Source organism: Homo sapiens, chromosome 10 (genome assembly GCF_000001405.40).
Source record: "Homo sapiens chromosome 10, GRCh38.p14 Primary Assembly".
Taxonomy (NCBI): domain Eukaryota; kingdom Metazoa; phylum Chordata; class Mammalia; order Primates; family Hominidae; genus Homo; species Homo sapiens.
The window spans coordinates 79339237-79355376 of NC_000010.11; the positions used below are offsets into that span (position 1 = coordinate 79339237).

The window sequence follows — 16140 nt, forward strand, 5'->3', positions numbered from 1 at the left end:
CGCAAAGTGCTGAGATTAATTTGGGATCCATCTGGTTACTTGTTGATTCCTCTGGTGTCTACTAAGATCCTTATTTTCATCTGGCTCTGGTCCACTGACGCAGTCCCTATTGTCATTTCCTTGTCCAGCCACATGGCCTCCAGGTCTTCAGGCTCCTGGGTCACTCTGTGCCTTCTTGGGCCTCCAGGAAATCTGTTCATGGCTGCTGGGAGCCCTACCTGTCTGGACACACCAGGCAACCAGGTTGCATTCCCCACCAGGGAAGGGCCTGGCTCTGGATTCTTGCTCCTTTCTTCGACTCTACTCAGAAACACGGCTCAGGATGCCTCTGCTTTTGGATTCCTGGAGTTCATCTGGGGTTTCTCACATCCCCTGATGGGTCTTACTCCCTTGCTTCCCCTCCACTCCCTTCTTCCTCCAACCATGAGGGTCTCTTGCAGGTTGGGGGTGAATGAAGGTCGCATCTGAAAGGGAAGGCTGGCTGAGTGATCATGTATATTTTCTAAACCAACTGGCAAGTATCCTAACTTTTTTTTTTTTGAAACCTTAAAGCCAAGTATTGACATCTTTGTCCTTATTTCTGAAGTCTGCTTGCCCCAAAGCATGGAAGGAAAGGGCTGGGAGAAATAAAGAAACACAAGTTACTCTTCCCAACTGTGCCAGTGGAGCCTTTAAAGTGCAGAGTTTTAAGCCAGGTATACCACCAGATCGTTGCCTAGTTTTCCTTATACTTCCTTGCATTTGCTTCTGTGCTTAGAAAACTTTGACCACTTTGAAACCAGTAACCATATGTCAGTATTCTCTTCCGGCCTTTATGGTTTCATGTTACATTTTACTCACCGATATGCCAATAAATAACTCTGGAGGCTGAGGCAGTTGGATAACCTGAGTTCAGGAGTTCAAGACCAGCCTGGCCAACATGGCAAAACCTCATCTCTATTAAAAATACAAAAATTAGCCAGGTGTGGTGGCACACACCTGTAATCCAGCTACTCGGGAGGCTGAGCTCTGAGAATCACTTGAACCCCGGAGGTGGAGTTTGCAGTGAGCCAAGATAGCGCCACTGAACTCCAGTCTGGGTGACAGAGCGAGGCCCTGTCTCCAAAAAATAAAAAATAAGAAAAAAAAATAAACCCAACAAAAAACCCCCAAAAAACAAAACTCTGAGGTTGCACGCTGCACTTTCTGTTCCCCCAAGCAGCCTCAACTTAGGGGGTCTAAATCGCAGAGTCTCTGAACCAGAAGGAGCCAGACAGGTCACCTGGCCCCACCACTTAGCCCAAGCAGCCATCTTCTGTGGCATCCCTGCTTGGTATCTCTCGCACAGCTTCAGCCATGAGGAGCTTCTTACTTCAAAGTATCATTCTGCAATATTGCTGACTGGTAGGAAGCTTTCTGTCTAAATGAACCCAAATCTGGCTCCTGCTCATCCTGGTCAGGCCTATGAAGCCCCACTGTGGCCTCTGCCCCAGTGCAGCCCTCAACTCTCTAGAGATGGCATTGTGTCCACCCCACCACACTTCTACTGTGACCAGCTTTAGTTAGATCTTCTCCGAACACCCTTGATTCGCAGGGTCCCCTGCTCCTTGATTCTCTGCTGAATGGGCTGGGCCTGTCCCCATGGAGCTGAAGCTTCCGCTGTGATCCCGAGATATGCCTGGACTCACCCAGCCCCAGGGCCTGTGATACGGACCCTCTGTCCTAGGAACATAGGCTGCTAGTTGGTCAACTGTTTGAGCCTTTCTGCTCATCTACAATCTGAGATCTTTGTCACATAAATTGAGGCCTCTCTCAGCCTGACCTGCTGATCTTTTGTACTAAAATTCAACAGTAGCAAAGATAGCATTAGAGGCAGGAGCCAAGTTCTGGGATTAAGCAGAGCAAGGCCAAATACAGGCTGTTCCACTACTCACTTAACACAAGGGAAGACCCAGGTAACCTTGGATGGCTTATGACTTCTGCCCACTTTGGAGGCCCTATTTATAAAAAGTAGTTAATACTAGTACTTGTTCTCAAGGGCCATGTGGGGATTAAGAAATAATGTTATAAATCCTTACCATGTGCAGTGTATTAAGTGCAGCAAAAGGTAGCTATTCTTATTACCATAGTGCTTATCTTCTTCTTCTTCTTCTTTTTTTTTTTTTGAGACAGAGTCTCGCTCTGTCACCCAGGCTGGAGTGCAGTAGCTCGATCTCAGCTCACTGCAACCTCTGCCTCCTGGGTTCAAGCAATTCTTCCTGCCTCAGCCTCCCGAGTAGCTGGGATTACAGGCACCCACCATGACGCCCAGTTACTTTTTTTTTTTTTTTGAGACAGAGTCTCGCTCTGTCGCCCAGGCTGCAGTGCAGTGGCGTGATCTTGGCTCACTGCAACCTCCACCTCCCGGGTTCAAGCGATTCTCTTGCCTCAGCCTCCCGAGTAGCTGGGATTACAGGCATGCACCACCATGCCCGGCTAATTTTGTATTTTTAGTAGAGATGGGGTTTCTTCATGTTGGTCAGGCTGGTCTCGAACTCCCGACCTCAGGTGATCTGCCCGCCAAGGCCTCCCAAAGTGCTGGGATTACAGGCATGAGCCACTGCGCCCGGCCTAATTTTTGTATTTTTTAGTAGAGAGGGGGTTTCACCATGGTGCTTATCTTCATTTGAAGAAAAGACAAATACTTGTCATCAAGGGTGGACCATACTGATCAGAAGGTGGACAATATGGATCACAAGGTAAGCATTGTTGACCAGAAGGAGATTTATTCTAATGGAGCAAGGAAAGGTATCAATGTGAGTTAGTCAGTGGAGGTTAAGAGGGTCAAGTCAGTAGATTCATGAAAATTGCACAGACCAAAACAACAGACCAAAAAGGGAAACTGCAGAATTGGAGGCTGCTTGCTTCCTTGCACCCACAAGGCAGAGAGCCCAGAGCTCAGGTGAAGTCTGACTGAGCAGCATTTTAGGCTTGGCAAAGTCTTGGGCCCCACTCCTAGACAACTGGCAGTGGGATCCTCTCCTGAGGATAATGATGCATTGAGAAAAGCCACTGCAAATCAGTAAACAGTAAATAAAGGTGGCAATGGGGCATGCACCAAGGACGAATCTGGACTGGACTTGGCAACCTTGCGGGTCCTGCTGACCAGGTACTTTTCTATTGACTCTGGGCAGGGACTGTGTAAATGAAGTCAGTGTGTGTTTCTATGTTACCCAGCTGTACTGTTGGGTGTCGCCCTGCAGGGCTGAGCCAATGGTAGATTCTCTAGGGTGAGAAGACCCAGTCAGTGGGAGAGAGTGCAGATATGGATTCAGCCAGGCCTGGGTTGAAATCCAGCTCAGCCATCTGGTGTCCATCAGGTGGGGACAACAGACCCTCCCTTGCAGAGTTATCATGAGGACTACATAGGATCATAGATCTCAATCACTAAGCACAGTGTCAGGCTAGCTGGAAGAAAACGGCTGCGTGGAGGGGATGATGTCTGGCACAAGCCAGCTCAGAGGCACCACTCAGAGCCCACCTGCCCCTGGAGACACAGAGCCAGGTGAGTCAGGAAGAATTCCACTCTCCACTTGGCCCTAGTGTGACCTTGGGCACATCATTAATCTCTCTTGGCCTCCATTCCTTTATTTGTAAGACAGGGACAACAAGCTCCACTTTGCAGGGTCACCCTGAGGCTCAGAATGACATCTACAAAGTGCGGAGCCCAGCACGGAGGTATTAAGTGAGGCCCCGTCCCCTTCCCAGAGGCCAACAGGATGCCATGGCCAGACCCTCAGGCCCTCCCGCTGAGGACTCTCTCCCAGCTCCTCCACTCTCCCAAGCTTCAATCAGTCTCCCTCAGAGGCATGAGACAGAAATAACCAGCCCATTCCACGTCTTTACAAAGACAAGGAAGTCCTGTCTCTTGGACCAGTTCTCCCTGACCATGCCCGTGAGGTCCTTGCCAAGAGCTGGTGACCAAGCTTGCTGAGACAGCAGATCCAGGACTGGCTGTGCATGGAGCAATGGGATCTTCCAGGAGTCCTGGCTGGGGTGGGGTACTATGGGTATGAGTTATCCACTGCACATGGCAAATGACCCAACACTTAGTGGCTTCAAACAACAAACATGGATTATCTTGCAGATACTCCCAGAAGGCAAGCTCTGCTGAGTTGTGAGTTGCAGGGGGCTGTGGCCAGGCAGGTTGTGTGAGAGCCCAGCAGCTGAGGGTGAGCCACACCCTACTGAGCTCCACCCTACCACACTGGCTCCGCTCTCAGTGGCCCGCAGTGATCCAGATCACACGAGTAAAAGACCAGCTGGACTCCAGAGGAGAGCTTCGCCCCATCTTCCCCTTGTGGGTCTCTCTCTGATCACTGTGCCCACCACCTCCCTGGGCCTTAGTGGAACCTCCCTTCTCTGCCTCTGCCTCCCCATCATGGTCTGGTTCTTAGAAGCCAGCAGAGAGAGGATGATGAATGTACTGACTTTGCAAAGGCCACGGGGGACACTCCATCCCCAGAGAGTCCCACAGCAACCCAGTAGAAGGGTCTGGTGGCTTTCTGAGTCGCGGGGAACCTCTCTCTCAGTTTCCCTTCCCATGACAGATGCTATCCTGGACCCCAAACCCCTCAAGCATAACCAGACAGATGAAGTCCATGGCCTCATCCTACCTAAGGACCATTGTCTAGGCTGGCAGCACAGGTTGTATGACCCAGTGACTGGCACTGGTAATGATCTCAGCCTTCATGATATTTAATATTATAGAAACCCCACCTCATGCCCACACCGGGGCTACCTTCACCCCCAGCCCCTCCTGGAGGGTCTCTCCAGAACAACTGTAACTTTGTACCCCACGACAACCACAGCGTTCACTCCTGCCACACACAGGGCTACCTGGGAGAGGTTTGTTCAGCAGTTCCAGCATCTCAGGACACCATAACCTCCTGTCCCTGTCTTTGTCCTTCTGAATCCCCAGGGTGAAGCTCAGGGCTCAGAACACAGTAGGTGCTCTGAAAACATGTCTGCTGAGTGAACTTTGCAGAAAGGGCCCTGGGGAGAGTGAAGAGAGGGTCTGACCACAGTCCTGGTACTGCCCAGCTGTATGGCCTCGGGCCACTCCCCATCCTTCTCTGAGCTTCAGTCCTCTCACCTGTACAGTGGAAATCAGAGCTTACAAACTATCAGCCCAGAGTCCTCATCTAGTTTGGATACGGTGTTTACAGTTCATTCGGTGTTTAATTTTATTTTGAAATTCATTTCAAAAATTTGAAAACTAGATTTCTATAAAACTTAAAGTCTTCAGCTTTTATTGAAAGATGAGAAAACCTGGGTGGCCTGTGTGGACCCATAGTCCCATATACAATAATTGGCTGGCCTGGGCAGCAGCTACCTCTTTACCTGGGACATCCATTAGCTATCTGGATACAGTGCCACCTCCCCTCACTCCCTACATACTTACCAGCTTGCACCACTCATGTGTATCACCTGCCTGGCCCCCGCAGGCATCTGAGTTTGCAACCCCTGAATGAGATTCTGAGCTTAGCACAAACTGATTGTTCTTTGGCTTTGTGAGGCCTAGAGGTGGTGTTACAGGATCCCTAGGTGACAAAACCCATCAGCACCCTGGATAAAAAACCATGTGAGCTGAGTGGAGAGAAACACTGCTGTTTCTGAGGATAACACAGTCTATAAATAGCCTCAGAGCCAGGTGAGTGCTAACACCTGCCTGATGTCACCTGGGCCCGGAGCCCTCAAGGGCTGGGCATGTGTTCAGCTCATGGCTTAGCCTATAGACTATCCTTCTTCCTGATACCACTGAGAACAGAACAGGAAGGGATGACATCATAGCTAAGCCTTTGGGGAAGGTAGGCTTTTCTCTGGCTTAGGAGGTAGTGATGACGTTTGATTTTCCAAAGAGAGTGGAAGGAGTAACATGAATGAAAGAAGCTGGTTCCCAGTCCAGAGTCCTCAGCATGGAGTCTTTGCACTATTCATGGCTCCCCAGTGCTATCCAACAATGTCAGACCTCAGCCAGGCCTTCAGAGCCCTCTGTGATTGGGTCCCCACAGGCCTTTCAGCTCATGCTCACTATTAAAACCATCTCCCTAGTCCCTGAGCTCCATAGCCCCCTGGCCAACTCCACCGTTTCTATCTTACTGTGTTGTCTGCCCAGGCTTATCTCTCTTGCCTCCCCACCCTGTCCCAAGGACCAGCTTCGTGGTGAGAGTGAGAAGGGTTTGACATGCAATAACCCTGATTGTGAAGTCAGACAGACTGGTCCCAGTTCCAACAGCCTGCCCTTGGGCAATTCACTCCCCAGCCCCTGGGGCCTGGCTTCCCCATCTGCAAAACAGAGCTGTCTCTCAGGCAGAGTTCACAGCTGGGAAAGGGTTCTGAGAACTGAAGTGGTCAAGTGAATGAAGGCAGCACTCCCCTGGGGTGGGGATGCTCATGCTTCATCAGGATGGGGCATAAACTGAGTCCCCCCAGGAGCAGGCTTGAGAAACAACAGGGTACGCTGAGCTACCTGCTGTGGCTGAAGGTCCTGTGAGCTCAGGGCCTGGAACTGGCCGCAGGGAAGCCTGGGGCCTTAAGGAAGCTTCATGACAAGGCACATGGCGTGATTCCTCCACTCTCAAATCCACAGGATGCACTGGTAGAGGAAGGTCTGGGACATGTGCTGAGGGCTCAAGTGGGCTCCCCACTCAGGCCTGCTCACCTCAGGGCACAATCATAAGAAAGGAGGGGCTGCTCCCCAGGGCAGAGTGAGGCCCCATTCTGGGCTGGGACCTGGAATGCATCCCACCTGGGCTTCACTGGGTGCCTAGGCCCCTCCTAGGCCAGGAATCGGAGAAGGGGGCTATGAACTTCCAGAAGCCAAGCTAGCCAAACTTCCAGAGGCCAAGCTAGCATTCTTATGAAGCTAGGGCACTGCTCTGACCTCATGAATTTGCTTGGCTGGCATTTTGCTGCCTGACCTGTTCCCATGAGCCCATTCAGGATCTGGGGCAGGTCAGTCCAGAGCTGGTCCCTACTCCTGCCCACCTGCCTCCAAGGCTCAGCCCCACCCCTTTCTCTGACCCCTCAGGCCTCTAACTGAGACCGCAGCTCTCTGAATCCCAAACTGTGAGAAAGACAGTCCAGACTCTGTCCATCACAGATGCCCACAGGCACAGTACTTAGTTGACAAATCCATGTCTCTCTCGTTCATTTTATCCTAAGAACAGACACGAGAAAAAAGCAGGATGAGGAGCATGATCGCACCCTTACCCTCCAGATGGGAAACTGAGGCCCAGAGAGGCCTGGAGCACTGGTGCAAGCTGGTAGCAATACTCCAGGGCTCCCTAGCCCTAGCCAGTGCCTTCCTGTGTCCAGGCCTCAGCTTCCCCTGGGGACAGTACAAGTGTTGGGCCAGATGCTCTCTCAGGTCCCTGCGTGGCATCCATTTATTGCAGACCTCCCACCACCTTGCAGTGAGGGTGGCTCTGGCTGCTGGGAAGCCCACTTTCAGCACGTGGGGTTTAAATGCTCCTGCTGTGGGTCTCCCCACTGAGTCCCCTCCCAGGGTGCATGCTGATGGGAGGGGGCAGCTGGCAGTCTGCCCCGGGGCTGTCAGTGTGGGTCCTAGGAGGAGGGATCAGACCCAGTCCTGGGGAGGGCTGGGGGCCTGAAAGGAGCATGATGAGCCCAGGCTGCGTTTTCAGTCTTGCTAGAAGCAGGTCTGGTCCCCAGAAACAACTAGAGACAGGCCCAGGCCGGGACAAGCAGGCTAGGGGGCATCATGGGAGGTGTCTCAGCTTATCTCCTCCCTCTTGCGCCTCTAGCTCACTAATCCCGCCTCTCATCTCACCTTTCTCTAACCCTCTCAGACTGCAGGACCTAGGGCAGCAGGGAAGCTTATTTGGCCTGAGCCTTACCTGCAAAGGGCTCAAAGGTAGACTTTTGCTATTATATTCAAATTGCAACGTATAGATGCTCATATTTTGGAATTAATTACGTTTTAGCAGTTTTTCTTTTTTTAAAAAAATCTGCTGGTACCTTAATAAACATGGAACCAGCAACCTTTTGCCAGGTGTCTGTTCTCCGGGTCTCTGGGCCTGGAGGCGGGAGTGTTTCAAAGCACTTCACGCTCCGCGGCCCCACCGGCTGGCTGCGCTGCCCGCTGCGGCCGGCAGGGGTAGTCCACGGACAGGCCTGGAGGAGGCGGGACGGGGGCAGGGCCGGGAACCTGGGCAAGCCAATAAAGGCTGCGGCGCGCGGCTGCGCGGGACTCGGCCTTCTGGGCGCGCGCGACGTCAGTTTGAGTTCTGTGTTCTCCCCGCCCGTGTCCCGCCCGACCCGCGCCCGCGATGCTGGCGCTGCGCTGCGGCTCCCGCTGGCTCGGCCTGCTCTCCGTCCCGCGCTCCGTGCCGCTGCGCCTCCCCGCGGCCCGCGCCTGCAGCAAGGGCTCCGGCGACCCGTCCTCTTCCTCCTCCTCCGGGAACCCGCTCGTGTACCTGGACGTGGACGCCAACGGGAAGCCGCTCGGCCGCGTGGTGCTGGAGGTGAGACCGCTCGCAGGGCCGGCCTGGGCGCGGGACACGGGCCCGGGGAGAGCCCTGGGCCCCGGGCGGCGCGGTGCCGGGCGCGCTGGGTGACCTTGGGCCTCCCCATGCCGAGCTCTGGGCCTCAGTTTCCCCATTTCTGAGAATGGGCGTCAGAATGATTTCTTCCGGCCTCCCTCGGAGCACTGGAGCGGGGGAGACGGGAGGGAGGGCACGTGTGGAGGAGAAAGCTCAAGGTCAGATCGCAGAGAGGGAGGGCTCAGCACCTCTGGGCCGGCCCGGGCACGAGGGAGGGGCTCCAGGAGCCTTCTGGGGCTGAGCCTAGATCCGGAGCTCCGAGGTGGGTGTCGGGGGTCTTGGGGTGAGCGTCGTGGCCCAGCGGGTGCTCACGTGGCGGCCCTTGCACAACACGGAGCGCTTCCTGGCTCCGGCCCCGCCCCTGCGGTCGGGCTCACACTGGGGGTGCTGGGAAATGGAGCGAGAGGTGGTTTCCAGCAGTAGTGCGGGCCCAGTAGGCCTCAGGCCCCGGCCACCTGGTGGACCCCAGAATGCCCCTCCTGCGAGTCGGGACACACTCAGAGACAGTGTGCCCGGCGCCTCAACCCCTGCCACTGTCCTTGGGGGCCACACTGAGCACCTCCCCTAACTCTGTTTTTGGGTCTTTTCTAAAGCAAAGTAAGAAACAGTCACCAGGGTAGCTTTAGAGGGAAAGCCCTAGTGGAGCCTTCAGGTCGGCCACACATTGACAGCAGGGGTCTGTTTGTGTTGACTGGCCCGTATCCCAGGGAGCCCTTAGTATTTCTTCTTCATTCTCAGTTTCTTCTGGAAAATAGGGACACCCTTCCTGCTTCCATTTGGTTCCAGGGTGGGTCTTGCAGCTTCGAGGGTAGAGGCTGGCTGGGATGGGGCTTCAGCCTTCCCTCCCCACACCCTCATGCCTCTCCCTGGGCCTCAGTTTCCCAACCCCGAATGGAGGAGCTGGTCTGGCTTCTACCTTAGACACACTCTCTTGTCCCTGAATTTCTGATGCTTTGGGCCCAGCTGTGGGAGCACTGCCAGCTGTGTCCACAGAAGTAGGCCAAGATAGCATTGTCATCTCTTCTGACAGATTAGGAAACCAAGGCCACCTCCTCCAGCCTTGGGTTCAGGAAACGGCTCCCAGAAATGATAGAGCTGCCTCCCATGGGGGTTGGCAATAATGGGAATGGAATGTCCACGTGCTTCTTCCTTAGCCTCCTTGGCCACTGTGGGGGTGGGTGGGTGCTGAGAGACACCCACCTTCACCTGCCTCTCCAATGACCATCCTCTTTTGTCCTTCTTCTCCCCCAACAGCTGAAGGCAGATGTCGTCCCAAAGACAGCTGGTAAGACAGGGCCTGGGGCCTTCTGAGATGGGTCTAGAGGGAAGGGGGCCAGGCAGGGCAAGGTGGGTGGCGTGATGAGAAGAGTCGGGGCTCAGAGACCCCTGACAGATGGGAGCTCCATGTGTGGCTCAGCCATTGGGTGCTCTGGGGCAGCCCTGCCATCCCTCTCTGGGCCTCAACGTTGGCTCTGCCCTCCTCTCTCATAGTAGCTGGGAGCCTCAGAGCCAGTGGAAGGCACATGTAAATTTCCCGGAGACTTCCCCACTCCTGGTGCCCAGTGAGGCAGGGTGATGGGCACACAGCCCTTGAGTCCGTGCCCTGCTGGCCAGCACAGCCATGAGCCTGTACTCTTGTCACAGTGCTCAGGTACTGAGGACAGGGAAGGGGAGTGACTTGTCCAGTTACATAGCGAGTTGGGCAGAGCAGACCCAAGAGGTGGGCCAGAGTCTTTATCCCCCTGTTCACTGCTGGGGATGTAGCAGGGATTTTGGCTGGAACGGGTATGACCCTGGAATTGGGGCCTGGCCCTGTTGACCTGTGTTTCTCTTCGACCCTCAGAGAACTTCAGAGCCCTGTGCACTGGTGAGAAGGGCTTCGGCTACAAAGGCTCCACCTTCCACAGGGTGATCCCTTCCTTCATGTGCCAGGTAATGTAGTTTCCTCTTCTGTAAGGGGGGATGAGAGCAGGAGCTGCCTTGTGGGTGTGTGAAGATGCCTGGTATGAGGAAGGTGCTGAGCAGAGCAGCTGCAGTTGCTCTGTCAGCCAGGCTGCCCTCCCTGCATTAGCCCTGTATCCAGGCTTCACTGCACATGGAAGCCCAGCCCCAACCCGCTGCCACTCCAGGTCAGTGGCAGGCCCTGCCCGGGGGACTGGGAGGTGGAGTCTATCAAGAGAGAGCTGGGTTGGGAGATGGATGTGCTGGGGGTGGCCTTGAAGACTTTGAAGAGCCAGCATATTCCAGTGGTCTCTGACCTTGTCCCCTGTGTGCCCCTGAGCACTGGTGTGGGAGATAAGAGAGGGAGAGAGAGAAGTGGAGGAGGCGGAGGAGGAAGACAGGTCCAGGGCAGGAACACACACGCCAGGACTTGGGGCTTCCCTTCCCAGAGAAAGGCATTATTCTCGGTGAAATGAATGTTTTTCGGTCATGTGTCATGCTCAGTTTTCACAAGCATTGGTATTGCTGTGTCAGAGGTTTGGGGGTAGGTGTTGTAGCAGGAGCTTCCTGTGGGTCAGGACCCAGGTGGTGTTGGGGCTGGTCTTCTATTAGCACAGACCTTCAAGATCAGGGATTGGGTGTCCTGGGCAGGCAGAGCCTGGAGGCAGGGGCATGGCTGTCATGACCTCTTTGAAGACCTTCCTGCCTGGAATTCTCTCCCCATTCCCTCCACCCTGACCCAGTGGCCGTCATCGTACCGTGGTAAGTGGCAGCGGGTTGGGACTGGACGTCTATGTGCGGCGAAGCCTGGATACGGGGTGAACACAGGGACGGCAGGCCTGGCCCAGCCCTAAGGCTGATGGTAAAGTAGGAGCTGAGGTGGAAGTCCTGAGCCAGGGTGGGAACTCCAGCGCGGGAGGGCTCCCTGGCACAAGGCGGTGGCACCGGGAGTCCAGACCAGAGTCCTGAGTCATCCGTTGGGAGGGATATCAATTAGGGAGCACCTAATTGACACCTGTGGATGCTTCAGCTGGGCTGGTCAGTTCCCCTCTCTTACCCACGGATCCCATCTCAGGAAAACAGCAGCCAGCCATGGCCTGGGCTGGGCAGCGCTAGGCATAGGGGCTGCTACCAGGCTCTTCTGGCCATGGGTGCCCCATGCAGGTTTGGCCACGGCTGCCTGGGCCTTAGCTGAGGCCTGAGGAAAGATGTCAGCCTTGGGCAGACTCTGTCCTGGGTCTGCAAGGGTTGGGAAAGCTGCTGGGCTGGGTAAGGGGCAGTGCGCGGACAGTGAGGGGACTCGGCCTGGGGAGCTGGTCTGGACCAGCTGCTGGTACTCCCACAGACTAGACTCGGGAACTGGGGGGCCTCTGGCCTCTTCCTTGTTGCCCTCCAGGAGGAGTGGGTTAAATTCTGGGTCACTAAGTATCATCTCAGAATGGCCTTTAGGTCTTTTGAAGATTACTTAAAAATTTGCTCAGACAAAAAGTAAGTCATTTGGAAACAAAGGTAGTTACGGTGACAAAAGATATTTAAGTTTTGTCTTTTTTTTTTTTGCTTATTATTCTTATTATTAGCTCTTATTTTATTGGATGTTTATTGACCCCTTTACCTGAGGGGCGCCAACTGGGTGGGCTTGGGTGGGCTGAGGCTGCTGCCAGCGCCAGGGCCGTGGCCCCCGCCTGCTCCATGGTAGCCACTCAGAAGGTGCTTTGTGCTCACAGGCGGGCGACTTCACCAACCACAATGGCACAGGCGGGAAGTCCATCTACGGAAGCCGCTTTCCTGACGAGAACTTTACACTGAAGCACGTGGGGCCAGGTGAGTGGGGGCCTCCTCTAGGGTGAGTGTCCCCACAGCTCTGACCTGGCCTGGAAGCCCCAGCAGGCCCTGAGAGGCCACATGCAGTCACCGTCCAGTATCTGATGAGTCTCCTTCCTCCCTGCGACACTGTAGGCTGTCTCAGCATTTCTGGCTTGTTGAGTTTCCCTAGAGTTTTCTCATCTCTCAGTTTAAAAAGCAGGGTTTCCTTTGGGAACTTTGTGGAAGAACCTTTAAGCAGAATGGAGGCCCTGGCCACCTCCCTGTTTGTCCTCTGAGTTTCGGGTTGGAAATTCTAGGACACTTAGAATTGTTGCAGAATGGTCCTTAGGTCCTTTGAGGATTATTTAAAATCTTGCTTAGATAAAAAGCAAATGGTTTGGAAGCCAGAGTGGTTATTGTGGCAGCATCGTGTCACCTATAAGACCCAAGGTAGAATGTGGAGATGTCTGGAGGTCAGGTCCTGGGGTCCTGCCCCAGGTCCCGCCCCAGCTCTACCACTGAGAGCTTCCACAAGGCCCTGTCCTCTCAGGCCACCCCACTGAGAACTAGCAGGCAGCAAAGGCAGGCATACCCTGGGGGGCTGGTATCGGGCCCTGGTTCTCCTCTTCTGGGTCCCAGGATCTGCAGACTCGAATGTCCCTGGTGTGGTTTGCACCGTCTGCCCTTTCAAATGCCCTCCCAGGCAGGTGCCTCCAGGGGCAGCGTGGCTCAGCCCTGCTGGTTTTTGCAGGTGTCCTGTCCATGGCTAATGCTGGTCCTAACACCAACGGCTCCCAGTTCTTCATCTGCACCATAAAGACAGACTGGTGAGTTCCCTGCCCCAGGCCCTCTGGGAATGCGGGCAGCCTTGCAGCTGGAGGAGGATTCGTGCACTTTTAGGGGCAGGCAGTTTACAGCCAGGCCTTCTGCTCTGGGACAGTGGCCCTCTCCCAGGCTGTGTGTTTGTATGAGAAAGAGAAAGTTAGTGGAAGGATCAAGGGAGAATTGGGGTTGTTCCTGCAACTCTGTCATGGTTCGGGTTCCCATTGTTGCTGTCACCTGGAATTTTCTGAGTGTGTTCTGCTCACACGCACACACGAAAGGGTTTCTCTACCAGATACATTTGGGAAATGTTGCAAAACATATTATGAGGCCTCAGGAGGGACTGAGTAGAAGCCCACTTGTGTGGTTTTAACCTGGAGTTTCCCAGGCTTGTCTTGACCATGGGCTGAGCCTTGGCAATGCTGCAGCAGACATTTGGATATCAGCAAATTTCCAAATGAAGCCTCTGTATTATCATAAACCTGCAGATAGCCACAGGCCTGTAAGGGCCCTGTTTTCAATGCCCATGGATTTTAGGGATGTCTCTTTCCTGGTACATTTTCCTCTAAGGGATAAATTTCTCTGGCCAGAGTCCCAAATGTCCTAGCCCTGGGGCACCTGGGGATGAACTGGCTGGGAGCTGACTTGGTAAAGCCCATTTCCGAGGATTTTAGGGAGACCTAGGTGGGGCAGACACTAGAAGTGTCCAGCCTCCAAGCCCAAGAGATGTGGCCGGCAGGGCTGGGCAGGTCCTTGCTGGCTCAGCCTGCTCTTTGCTCCTTCATGGGACCCCAGTGGATCCTGCAGTTCTGCTCTTGGCTGGAACCACGCCAGCTTCGCTGGAGCTGGACTGAGCCGCCTTTTACATTATTGGACTCTCTCGGGTTGAGAGCTGCCCAGGACTCCTGCAGTTTCACCACCCTTGTTCCTTTGACTCTTGACTCATCATTCATGACCGTTAACGTGGTTCCATTTGTATGGACTTCTTCTTTCTTCAGAGCATTTCAGTATCCTGTTACCTCCCCATGCAGAACAAAGAATACTCCACTTTTGATAGATGGGGTTACCAGGATTCAGGCTACATGGCCTGAGGCAAGGTCACAACATGAGTGACAGAATGTGTCCTGGAAGCCAGGCATCCTCTGGGGTGTATTTGGGGCGCTCAACAAGGCTTGATCGAGCTTTGGGGGTAGATCTAGCTATTCCATGGGGATTCTTTTCAGAATTGCTGTTTTCGGTAACTAATTCCATGACCAGGTCCATGGCATTGGATGACATTGCGCTACACTGTTGCTCACCCGGGTCACCCGTCCTCACAGGTTGGATGGCAAGCATGTTGTGTTCGGTCACGTCAAAGAGGGCATGGACGTCGTGAAGAAAATAGAATCTTTCGGCTCTAAGAGTGGGAGGACATCCAAGAAGATTGTCATCACAGACTGTGGCCAGTTGAGCTAATCTGTGGCCAGGGTGCTGGCATGGTGGCAGCTGCAAATGTCCATGCACCCAGGTGGCCGCGTTGGGCTGTCAGCCAAGGTGCCTGAAACGATACGTGTGCCCACTCCACTGTCACAGTGTGCCTGAGGAAGGCTGCTAGGGATGTTAGACCTCGGCCAGGACCCACCACATTGCTTCCTAATACCCACCCTTCCTCACGACCTCATTTCTGGGCATCTTTGTGGACATGATGTCACCCACCCCTTGTCAAGCATTGCCTGTGATTGCCCAGCCCAGATTCATCTGTGCCTTGGACATGGTGATGGTGATGGGTTGCCATCCAAGTGAAAGTCTTTTCCTTGACCAAGGGGGACAGTCAGTTTTGCAAAAGGACTCTAATACCTGTTTAATATTGTCTTCCTAATTGGGATAATTTAATTAACAAGATTGACTAGAAGTGAAACTGCAACACTAACTTCCCCGTGCTGTGGTGTGACCTGAGTTGGTGACACAGGCCACAGACCCCAGAGCTTGGCTTTTGAAACACAACTCAGGGCTTTTGTGAAGGTTCCCCCGCTGAGATCTTTCCTCCTGGTTACTGTGAAGCCTGTTGGTTTGCTGCTGTCGTTTTTGAGGAGGGCCCATGGGGGTAGGAGCAGTTGAACCTGGGAACAAACCTCACTTGAGCTGTGCCTAGACAATGTGAATTCCTGTGTTGCTAACAGAAGTGGCCTGTAAGCTCCTGTGCTCCGGAGGGAAGCATTTCCTGGTAGGCTTTGATTTTTCTGTGTGTTAAAGAAATTCAATCTACTCATGATGTGTTATGCATAAAACATTTCTGGAACATGGATTTGTGTTCACCTTAAATGTGAAAATAAATCCTATTTTCTATGGAAGACTGGTACCTGGTTTCTGGAAGAGGGGTCTGTGACTTGGAGCTGATCTTTACTGAGCTCGCCGTGGCAGATGCCATGCTCAGGACGTTCATGTGGATGGTTTCATGTCATCGTGCTGGCAACTTGTCCTCCCTGCCTTAGAGATGAGGCTCAGACAAACGACCTTAGCACCCATAGCCTATGCCATGAGCACTGGCTCCACCCTGAATCCCAGCTCCTCCCCTTAGTGACCCCAAGTCTGTTTCCCTCAGCTGCATAAGGAGGCGATATAGTTTGAATATTTGTCCCCAGCCAAATCTCATGTTGAACTGTAATCCCCAGTGCTGGAGGTGGGGCCTGCTACGAGGTGTTTGGATCATGGGGACGGGTATTTCATGGCTTGGTGCTGTTTTCTTGATGGTGAATTATTGCAAGATACGGTCATTTAAAATTGTGTGGCACCTCCCCCTGCCCCCTTCTTGCTCCTGCTTTCACCATGTGACATGCCTGATCCCCCTTCACCTTTTGCCATGGTCATAAGCTTCCTGAGGCCTCCCTGGAAGCTGAGCAGATGCCAGCACCATGCTTCCTGTACATCCTGCAGAACCATAAGCCAATTAAACCTTTTTAATAATAAATTACTCAGTCTCAAGTATTTTTTTATAGCAATACAAGAATCC

The 16140-nt window shown here is 53.6% G+C and overlaps 1 protein-coding gene across 2 annotated transcripts, besides 23 other annotated features; it reads left to right on the plus strand.

Annotated features, from left to right (window-relative positions):
- Positions 7900–8477: a transcriptional cis regulatory region, noted in NCBI's record as "chr10:81106892-81107469 region (GRCh37/hg19 assembly coordinates) targeted for CRISPR interference". NCBI's record gives its function as "positively regulates PPIF gene expression in GM12878 lymphoblastoid cells {active_cell/tissue: GM12878}" and the evidence as "EXISTENCE:mutant phenotype evidence [ECO:0000015][PMID:33828297]".
- Positions 7900–9214: a biological region, named in NCBI's record as "CRISPRi-FlowFISH-validated PPIF regulatory elements GRCh37_chr10:81106892-81107469 to GRCh37_chr10:81107706-81108206". NCBI's record gives its function as "regulatory_interactions: PPIF".
- Positions 7977–8499: a transcriptional cis regulatory region, noted in NCBI's record as "chr10:81106969-81107491 region (GRCh37/hg19 assembly coordinates) targeted for CRISPR interference". NCBI's record gives its function as "positively regulates PPIF gene expression in anti-CD3- and PMA-stimulated Jurkat T cells {active_cell/tissue: Jurkat(+anti-CD3 and PMA for 4hr)}" and the evidence as "EXISTENCE:mutant phenotype evidence [ECO:0000015][PMID:33828297]".
- Positions 7977–8509: a transcriptional cis regulatory region, noted in NCBI's record as "chr10:81106969-81107501 region (GRCh37/hg19 assembly coordinates) targeted for CRISPR interference". NCBI's record gives its function as "positively regulates PPIF gene expression in BJAB lymphoma cells {active_cell/tissue: BJAB}" and the evidence as "EXISTENCE:mutant phenotype evidence [ECO:0000015][PMID:33828297]".
- Positions 7977–8527: a transcriptional cis regulatory region, noted in NCBI's record as "chr10:81106969-81107519 region (GRCh37/hg19 assembly coordinates) targeted for CRISPR interference". NCBI's record gives its function as "positively regulates PPIF gene expression in Jurkat T cells {active_cell/tissue: Jurkat}" and the evidence as "EXISTENCE:mutant phenotype evidence [ECO:0000015][PMID:33828297]".
- Positions 7977–8528: a transcriptional cis regulatory region, noted in NCBI's record as "chr10:81106969-81107520 region (GRCh37/hg19 assembly coordinates) targeted for CRISPR interference". NCBI's record gives its function as "positively regulates PPIF gene expression in anti-CD40- and anti-IgM-stimulated BJAB lymphoma cells {active_cell/tissue: BJAB(+anti-IgM and anti-CD40 for 4hr)}" and the evidence as "EXISTENCE:mutant phenotype evidence [ECO:0000015][PMID:33828297]".
- Positions 7977–8650: a transcriptional cis regulatory region, noted in NCBI's record as "chr10:81106969-81107642 region (GRCh37/hg19 assembly coordinates) targeted for CRISPR interference". NCBI's record gives its function as "positively regulates PPIF gene expression in THP-1 monocytic cells {active_cell/tissue: THP-1}" and the evidence as "EXISTENCE:mutant phenotype evidence [ECO:0000015][PMID:33828297]".
- Positions 7977–9018: a transcriptional cis regulatory region, noted in NCBI's record as "chr10:81106969-81108010 region (GRCh37/hg19 assembly coordinates) targeted for CRISPR interference". NCBI's record gives its function as "positively regulates PPIF gene expression in LPS-stimulated THP-1 monocytic cells {active_cell/tissue: THP-1(+LPS for 4hr)}" and the evidence as "EXISTENCE:mutant phenotype evidence [ECO:0000015][PMID:33828297]".
- Positions 8007–8416: a silencer, noted in NCBI's record as "silent region_2539". NCBI's record gives its function as "represses an Ori minimal core promoter by ATAC-STARR-seq in GM12878 lymphoblastoid cells {active_cell/tissue: GM12878}" and the evidence as "EXISTENCE:reporter gene assay evidence [ECO:0000049][PMID:35858748]".
- On the plus strand, positions 8233–16098 carry PPIF (peptidylprolyl isomerase F). 2 transcript variants are annotated; one of them, XM_005269379.3, is made up of 6 exons: positions 8233–8507; positions 9840–9870; positions 10429–10517; positions 12251–12347; positions 13081–13156; positions 14409–16098. In XM_005269379.3, exons 1-6 carry the CDS (start codon positions 8313–8315, stop codon positions 14524–14526), a joined length of 606 nt encoding a protein of 201 aa, XP_005269436.1. In that variant the 5' UTR covers positions 8233–8312; the 3' UTR covers positions 14527–16098. The 2 variants fall into 2 exon arrangements, with proteins under 2 accessions (XP_005269436.1, NP_005720.1); NM_005729.4 differs by having other exon boundaries at positions 14471–16098.
- Positions 8437–8666: a silencer, noted in NCBI's record as "silent region_2540". NCBI's record gives its function as "represses an Ori minimal core promoter by ATAC-STARR-seq in GM12878 lymphoblastoid cells {active_cell/tissue: GM12878}" and the evidence as "EXISTENCE:reporter gene assay evidence [ECO:0000049][PMID:35858748]".
- Positions 8502–9002: a transcriptional cis regulatory region, noted in NCBI's record as "chr10:81107494-81107994 region (GRCh37/hg19 assembly coordinates) targeted for CRISPR interference". NCBI's record gives its function as "positively regulates PPIF gene expression in anti-CD3- and PMA-stimulated Jurkat T cells {active_cell/tissue: Jurkat(+anti-CD3 and PMA for 4hr)}" and the evidence as "EXISTENCE:mutant phenotype evidence [ECO:0000015][PMID:33828297]".
- Positions 8531–9031: a transcriptional cis regulatory region, noted in NCBI's record as "chr10:81107523-81108023 region (GRCh37/hg19 assembly coordinates) targeted for CRISPR interference". NCBI's record gives its function as "positively regulates PPIF gene expression in anti-CD40- and anti-IgM-stimulated BJAB lymphoma cells {active_cell/tissue: BJAB(+anti-IgM and anti-CD40 for 4hr)}" and the evidence as "EXISTENCE:mutant phenotype evidence [ECO:0000015][PMID:33828297]".
- Positions 8714–9214: a transcriptional cis regulatory region, noted in NCBI's record as "chr10:81107706-81108206 region (GRCh37/hg19 assembly coordinates) targeted for CRISPR interference". NCBI's record gives its function as "positively regulates PPIF gene expression in GM12878 lymphoblastoid cells {active_cell/tissue: GM12878}" and the evidence as "EXISTENCE:mutant phenotype evidence [ECO:0000015][PMID:33828297]".
- Positions 9981–10481: an enhancer, noted in NCBI's record as "H3K4me1 hESC enhancer chr10:81108973-81109473 (GRCh37/hg19 assembly coordinates)". NCBI's record gives its function as "activates a minimal SCP1, AML or CMV promoter by ChIP-STARR-seq in primed H9 embryonic stem cells {active_cell/tissue: H9 hESC(primed)}" and the evidence as "EXISTENCE:reporter gene assay evidence [ECO:0000049][PMID:30033119]".
- Positions 12484–12984: an enhancer, noted in NCBI's record as "H3K4me1 hESC enhancer chr10:81111476-81111976 (GRCh37/hg19 assembly coordinates)". NCBI's record gives its function as "activates a minimal SCP1, AML or CMV promoter by ChIP-STARR-seq in primed H9 embryonic stem cells {active_cell/tissue: H9 hESC(primed)}" and the evidence as "EXISTENCE:reporter gene assay evidence [ECO:0000049][PMID:30033119]".
- Positions 13817–14792: a transcriptional cis regulatory region, noted in NCBI's record as "chr10:81112809-81113784 region (GRCh37/hg19 assembly coordinates) targeted for CRISPR interference". NCBI's record gives its function as "positively regulates PPIF gene expression in LPS-stimulated THP-1 monocytic cells {active_cell/tissue: THP-1(+LPS for 4hr)}" and the evidence as "EXISTENCE:mutant phenotype evidence [ECO:0000015][PMID:33828297]".
- Positions 13817–15353: a biological region, named in NCBI's record as "CRISPRi-FlowFISH-validated PPIF regulatory elements GRCh37_chr10:81112809-81113784 to GRCh37_chr10:81113845-81114345". NCBI's record gives its function as "regulatory_interactions: PPIF".
- Positions 13824–14778: a transcriptional cis regulatory region, noted in NCBI's record as "chr10:81112816-81113770 region (GRCh37/hg19 assembly coordinates) targeted for CRISPR interference". NCBI's record gives its function as "positively regulates PPIF gene expression in THP-1 monocytic cells {active_cell/tissue: THP-1}" and the evidence as "EXISTENCE:mutant phenotype evidence [ECO:0000015][PMID:33828297]".
- Positions 14487–14987: a transcriptional cis regulatory region, noted in NCBI's record as "chr10:81113479-81113979 region (GRCh37/hg19 assembly coordinates) targeted for CRISPR interference". NCBI's record gives its function as "positively regulates PPIF gene expression in BJAB lymphoma cells {active_cell/tissue: BJAB}" and the evidence as "EXISTENCE:mutant phenotype evidence [ECO:0000015][PMID:33828297]".
- Positions 14785–15285: a transcriptional cis regulatory region, noted in NCBI's record as "chr10:81113777-81114277 region (GRCh37/hg19 assembly coordinates) targeted for CRISPR interference". NCBI's record gives its function as "positively regulates PPIF gene expression in THP-1 monocytic cells {active_cell/tissue: THP-1}" and the evidence as "EXISTENCE:mutant phenotype evidence [ECO:0000015][PMID:33828297]".
- Positions 14844–15344: a transcriptional cis regulatory region, noted in NCBI's record as "chr10:81113836-81114336 region (GRCh37/hg19 assembly coordinates) targeted for CRISPR interference". NCBI's record gives its function as "positively regulates PPIF gene expression in LPS-stimulated THP-1 monocytic cells {active_cell/tissue: THP-1(+LPS for 4hr)}" and the evidence as "EXISTENCE:mutant phenotype evidence [ECO:0000015][PMID:33828297]".
- Positions 14847–15347: a transcriptional cis regulatory region, noted in NCBI's record as "chr10:81113839-81114339 region (GRCh37/hg19 assembly coordinates) targeted for CRISPR interference". NCBI's record gives its function as "positively regulates PPIF gene expression in GM12878 lymphoblastoid cells {active_cell/tissue: GM12878}" and the evidence as "EXISTENCE:mutant phenotype evidence [ECO:0000015][PMID:33828297]".
- Positions 14853–15353: a transcriptional cis regulatory region, noted in NCBI's record as "chr10:81113845-81114345 region (GRCh37/hg19 assembly coordinates) targeted for CRISPR interference". NCBI's record gives its function as "positively regulates PPIF gene expression in Jurkat T cells {active_cell/tissue: Jurkat}" and the evidence as "EXISTENCE:mutant phenotype evidence [ECO:0000015][PMID:33828297]".
- Positions 16099–16140: the final 42 nt, after the last annotated feature.

Coding starts and splice junctions, on each gene's coding strand:
- PPIF (NM_005729.4), top strand. CDS start 8,313: ATGCTGGCGCTGCGCTGCGGCTCCCGCTGGCTCGGCCTGCTCTCCGTC. Junction 8,508..9,839: donor TCGGCCGCGTGGTGCTGGAG/GTGAGACCGCTC, acceptor CTCCCCCAACAG/CTGAAGGCAGATGTCGTCCC. Junction 13,157..14,470: donor TGCACCATAAAGACAGACTG/GTGAGTTCCCTG, acceptor CCGTCCTCACAG/GTTGGATGGCAAGCATGTTG.